This window comes from Homo sapiens, chromosome 13 (assembly GCF_000001405.40).
Source record: "Homo sapiens chromosome 13, GRCh38.p14 Primary Assembly".
Classification (NCBI taxonomy): domain Eukaryota; kingdom Metazoa; phylum Chordata; class Mammalia; order Primates; family Hominidae; genus Homo; species Homo sapiens.
The window spans coordinates 88,646,674-88,652,673 of record NC_000013.11 but is presented as its reverse complement, the minus strand read 5'-3'; positions in this window follow the sequence as shown (position 1 = coordinate 88,652,673).

The window sequence follows — 6,000 nt, the reverse complement described above, 5'->3', positions numbered from 1 at the left end:
ACATTGAATATGAATAGAATAAACTCTCCAGTAAAAAAACATGGAAGGAGCCGGGTGCAGTGCCTCACTTCTGTAATCCCAGCGGCACTTTAGGAGGCTGAGGCAGGCAGATCATCTGAGGCCAGGAGTTTGAGACCAGCCTGGCCAACATGGCAAAATCCTGTCTCTACTAAAAATAAAAAAAACTGGCCAGGCATGGTGGCGGGTGCCTGTAATTCTAGCTATCTGGGAGGCTGAGGCAGGAGAATCACTTGAACCTGGGAGGCAGAGGCTGCAGTATGCCATTGCACTCCAGCCTGGGCAACAAGAGTAAAAACTTCGTTTCAAAAAAAAAAAAAAGAAAGAAAGAAAAAAGAAAACAAAAACAAAACAAAAAAACCATGGAGTGGCTGAATGATAACAAAACAAGACTCAATCATCTGTTACCTACAATTCACCTATGAAGATACACATAGACTGAAAATGGGAATAGAAAAAAAATATTCCATGACAAAGGAAACAAAAAAAAAGAGCAAGAATAGCTATACTTATATCAGATAAAGTAGATTTCAAGACAAAAACTGTAAAAGACAAAGTCCATTATACAATGATAAAGGAGTCAATTCAGTAAGAGGATATAACAATTATAAATACATATACATCCAGGGCTGGAGCATACAGATACATAAATAAAATATTATTAGCACTAAAAAGAGAGACCTTGATATGGTTTGGCTGTATCCCCACTCAAATGTCATCTTGAATTGTAGCTTCCATAATTCCCACATGTTGTTGGGGGGACCTGGTGGGAGCTAATTGAATCGTGGGAGCATTTCCCCCACACTGTTCTCGTGGTAGTGAATAAGTCTCATGAGATCTGACGGTTTTATAAGGGATTTTCCCTTTCACTCGGCTCTCATTGTCTCTTGCCTGTTGCCATGTAAGACATGTCTTGCTTCCCCTTTGCCTTCCACCACAACTGAGAGGCCTCCTCAGCCATGTGGAACTGTGACTCAACTAAACCTCTTTCATTTATAAATTACCCAATCTCAGGTGTGTCTTTGTTAGCAGCATGAGAACAGACTAATACAGACCTCAATACAATAATAGCTGGAGACTTCAACAGCCCGCTTTCAGCATTGGACAGATCTTCTAGCCAGAAAATCAATATAGAAATATCAGATTTAATCTGCACTGCAGAACAAATGCACCTAATAGATATTTACAGAACATTTCATTCAACAGCTATAGAATACATATTCTTCTCCTTAGCACATGAATTATTCTGGAGGATACACCATATTTAGGTCACAAAACAAGTCTTAAAACATTCAAAAAAACTAAAGTCAAATCAAGTATCTTCTCTGACTACAATGGAATAAAACTGGAAATCAATAATGAGGAATTTTGGAAACTATGTAAACTCATGGAAATTAAACAATATGCTCTGAAATAACCAGTGGATCAATGAATAAATTAAACAGAAAATTGAAATATTTTTTGGCATAGATGATAATGGAAACTAAACATACCAAGGCCTATGGGATATACTGAAAACAGACTAAGAAGTAAATTTATATCTATAAATGTCTACAAAAAAGAAAAATTCTCAAATAGATAACCTAACGATGCATCTTAAAGAGCAAGAGCAGATCAAACCCCAAATTGGTAGAAGAAAATAAATAATGAAGATCAGAGCAGAAATAAATACGTGAATTTAAAATGAAGGAAAAATACAAAAGATCAAGGAAAGTAGTTTGTTGTTTGAAAAGATAAACAAAACTGAAAAACCTTTAGCCAGACTAGCAAAGAACAAGAAGATCCAAATAAAATCAGAGATGATAAAAAGAGACATTACAACTGATGCTGAAGAAATTCAAAGGATCATTGGTGAATAATATGAGCAAGTATATGCCAATAAATTGGAAAATCTAGAAGAAAAGGAATAATTCCTAGACCCATCTCACCTACCAAGATTGAACCATGAATAAATTAAAAACCTGAGCAGACAAATAACAAGTAACAAGATCAAAACTGTAATTAAAATGCCTCTCAATAAAGAAAAATCTGGGATCTGATAGCTTCACTGTTTAATTCTACCAACCATATAAAGAACTGATACAAATCCTATTCAAACTATTCTGCAAGTAGAGGAGAAAAGAAGACATTCAAACTCAATCTGTGAGGTCACAATTACTCTATTACCAACACTAGACAAAGATAGTTCAAAAAAGGAGAACTACAGGACAATATCTCTGATGAATATATTGATGCAAAATTCCTCAAGAAAATGCTAACAAAGTACATTGAAAAGGTCATTCATGATGATCAAGTGGGATTTATCCTAGGGATGCAAGTATGGTTCAACATATGCAAATAATGTCATACATCATAGCAATAGAATGAAGGAAAAAACTATATAATTATTTCAATTAGTGCTGAAAAAGCTTTTGATAAACTTCAACATCTCTTCATGATAAAAACTAAAAATACTAAAAATATTGGGTATAGAAGGAACATACCTAAAAACAATAAAAGCCGTATACAACAGGCCCACAGGCCCATATAAGACAGCTAGTATTGTTGTGGCCTTTTCACTTCCATTGTTCAGCAAGTGAGAGGAAGTGGAGCCCAGTGACTACTTTCCTCCTGTTTTTTGGTGAGCAAGAGGAAGTGCTACAGCTCTTTTACTCCCATCACCTGCAGCTCGGTGAGCAGGAGAATTACAAGTTTTTCACTCCTACAATTCAGCAAGTTCCAAATTTGTGTTCTGCGACCAAGAAGAATAAGGTATGCAGACGCCAGACAGTGAGTAAGGCAGGGCAGAATTTTATTGAGCAACAGAAAGAAAGCTCTCAGCTGCGAAAGGGGACCTGAAAGTGAGTAGCCATCTGCGAGGCTGAGTCCAGGGTTTTTATAAACTTACAAATGGGGAGTGCATGTTGACAGGCCCAGGGTGGGCTTGAAAAAAAAAAAACACCATTTGATTGGTTAACAGGCATCCTTCAGGAGGAACCAATCAAAAGAGAGTGGGTAAGATGGGGATGGAAGTTCTCACTGTAGTTGTAGACTCTATCCAGAACTGGCAGCTCTGTTTACAGGCTTTAAACTGTTCTTGGCTTGATGGTCAGATTTCACCAGGGCCCTTTCCCTGTCTGCCTAGAAATCTGTCTGTCTCCTGTCCCTATTAAGCCCTGCTCTGAGTATATCTCACTGTCATTAGTATAGGAATGATGACTGCTTTGACTGCTTCATGCTAACAGGAGATGTTGTTTTGGGAAAATAGCAGTCAGATCTCTCTTAGAGGCCTATGTAAGGGACCCCAGTTAAACAGAAACAAATTTTACCAGGAGGTTAAGTATGCATGTAACTAATGTGGGTATTATACAAAGAGGAGCCAAAAGGGAAAAAGGTAGTGCCAGAGATAACAGAAATAAGAAGTAAAATATACTAATCATTCTGAAAACAAAGTTGTGGCCAGAGCTGTTTCACTCTTGTGAAAGAAATTAAATTTGGTATGGGGCAGACACCTTATGGTGAAAAACAGAAAAGAGACAAGGACAGCATGTATAGTCAAGAGTATAAAGAAGATACCATGGAAGGTTAATTATTCACACTTATCTTTTATGATCTCTAGCTTGAGGCTCCTGATTTTTTCGCATTTTGCTTCAGTCACTCTTCTGGGTGAACAGAGGTAATTCCCTCAGTTCCCAAGCCCTTGAGTATAATGAATCCAAAAATATATTCCAGTGACTTTCACTGCAAAAGGAGTAGAGAGAAGTAGAGTATAAGCTTTCTCCCAATCCAGTTCTAGAAAGGAGAAAGAGGATGAAGAGCCTTTATTAGTACTAAGTCCCCTGGGTTGAATAGAGGTAGTCCTAGTTTACAAGGTTGGGCCTCTGAGAGTTGTTTCAGTTCCTGTTGGAAATGGGCCAAAAAAGTTACATGTTTAATCAAATCAGAGGTTTCTTTGTCTAGCAAGAAATCATTGGCGAGAAAAGATCATCCACACATCATGTGGAAAGGAATTAAACCTAGCTTTGAAGGGGTGTTTCTAAAATATAGTAGGGCCATGGGAGAAGAGTAATCCAGGGGACATGGGTCTCTTGAGACAGTTTTCTGAGGTGCCTTTTGATAATATTATCTGTCTTTTCTACTTTTCCTGAGGATTGTGGTTTCTAAGCACAATGACGATGTTATTGTATGCCTAGTGCCTTTGAGACCCCCGGGTGACAACTGCCTTGAACCAGGAGCCATTATTGCATTGGAGGTACTTAGGAAGTCCAATGAAAGGAATTATCTCATTAATTAGTACTTTTATTACCTCATAGGCTTTCTCTGTCCGACATGCAAATGCTTTTACCCAGTTAGTGAAGGTTTTACCCATCCCAGGAGGTACAGGATGCCCCTTATCTTTGGCATATGAGTGAAATCCATCTGCCAGTTCTCCTCTGGGTAGCATCCCATTCTTTGGATTCTAGGGAGAAAGATTTGTTGATTTGGGATTATTTTTGAGGCAAGTCTCACAAACATTAATGGCCTGTTTGACCATTTTTAACAGATTTTTACCTGAGAACAACCATTGGGCCAATTGATAGGTTTTATTCTTTCCTAGATGGAAGGCTTGGTAAAAGATTTTAAAATCTTTACATTGCCCAGAAGCTGGTAGATAAAGTTTGCCATCCTCCGATTGTAGCCATCCCTTCCTATTTTCTCGTTTTAGGGGATTTTGTCTCCAGTTAAAGAAAGAGGTCGGATCCTTAAGCGGATGTGGACCAGTATGGCAGTTGTGGCTCAACCAATTTTCCCTTTAGTTGCCTAAACTTCTGGATTAATATTGGTCTCCAACAGTGGGAGACAAATAAATCTGCCTTGGAGCCATAAGAATGGTAGTTACCATAAGATATCTCTTCATAGCATAGGAGTTGGGCTTTTAGGCATGATCAAAATAGCATGAGGAAACAAGACATATCTCCAACTATAATAAGGGGTTGGAAAAACTATTCGGTTAAAGGCTTTCCTGAAATGCCCTATCAGGAGGAGGGGAGTCGTGGATTGGGGAGGAGAACAGAAATGGCTACTCCAGTATACAGGAGGAAGTCCACCTTCTTCCTTTCGACCTCCAGAATCACCCAGGTTCCTGGATGGTAATGGTGGTCTGAGCCATCGGAGCTAGGGAGAGTGGCCCTGGGACCCATCAGTCCTGCTCGACCATTTGGGAGACTGGCTCTGGAGTTGGTGACCTGCATCTCTGGGGACTGTCCACCCTCCGGTTGTCCCCTCCACAGATTGTACAAGGTCAAGGTGGCTTTCTCATGCTGTCTAGGAAGTTCTTCTTAAAGTGCCCTGGCTTTTGTAGCAGTTAACAGGTGCCTCTTGGGGATTCTGGGGTTTATAAGCCCAAAATGTGGCCATTAGAGCTGCTGCCTTTTTTGTGTGTCTCCTCTCTTTTGAGCCTCCTCCTGATCCCTATTGTAAACGATCGAGGTGGCCACTTTCAAGAGGTTATCTAAAATACTATCTGGTCCTATGGCTTCTTCCTGCAGCTTCTTCCTGATATCAGGTGGTTCCTGAGTAATAAACTTATCCTTTAAAATTACTTATCCTTCAACTAAGTCAGGAGATAGATAGTTGTGCTTTACCAAGGCCTCTCAGCCTTTCCAGGAAGGCAGTGGGATTCTCATCTGATACTTGGTCTATCATGGATAGTTTGGAGTAATTGAGAGGTTCATGTCTAGTCCTTTGCAAGCCCTCCAATATGCACATCCGAAAGTGTTTCCTCCTCCAATCTACCTTGTCATCATCAGCGTCCCATTTAGGGTCCTCCAATGGTACTACTTTTTTTCCAATTGGATAAGTTTCTTCCTCTTCCTTGGCACTATATGAGACACAAAGCTCATCCCAACTTCTCTGCCACTTGCAGGGCTGTCTGCTTCTCAGCAGCAGACAGTGTTTGATTAAAAACTAACATAACACCCTTCCAGGAGAGTTTAAATGCTTGGATTAAATTCTGGAAAGCCT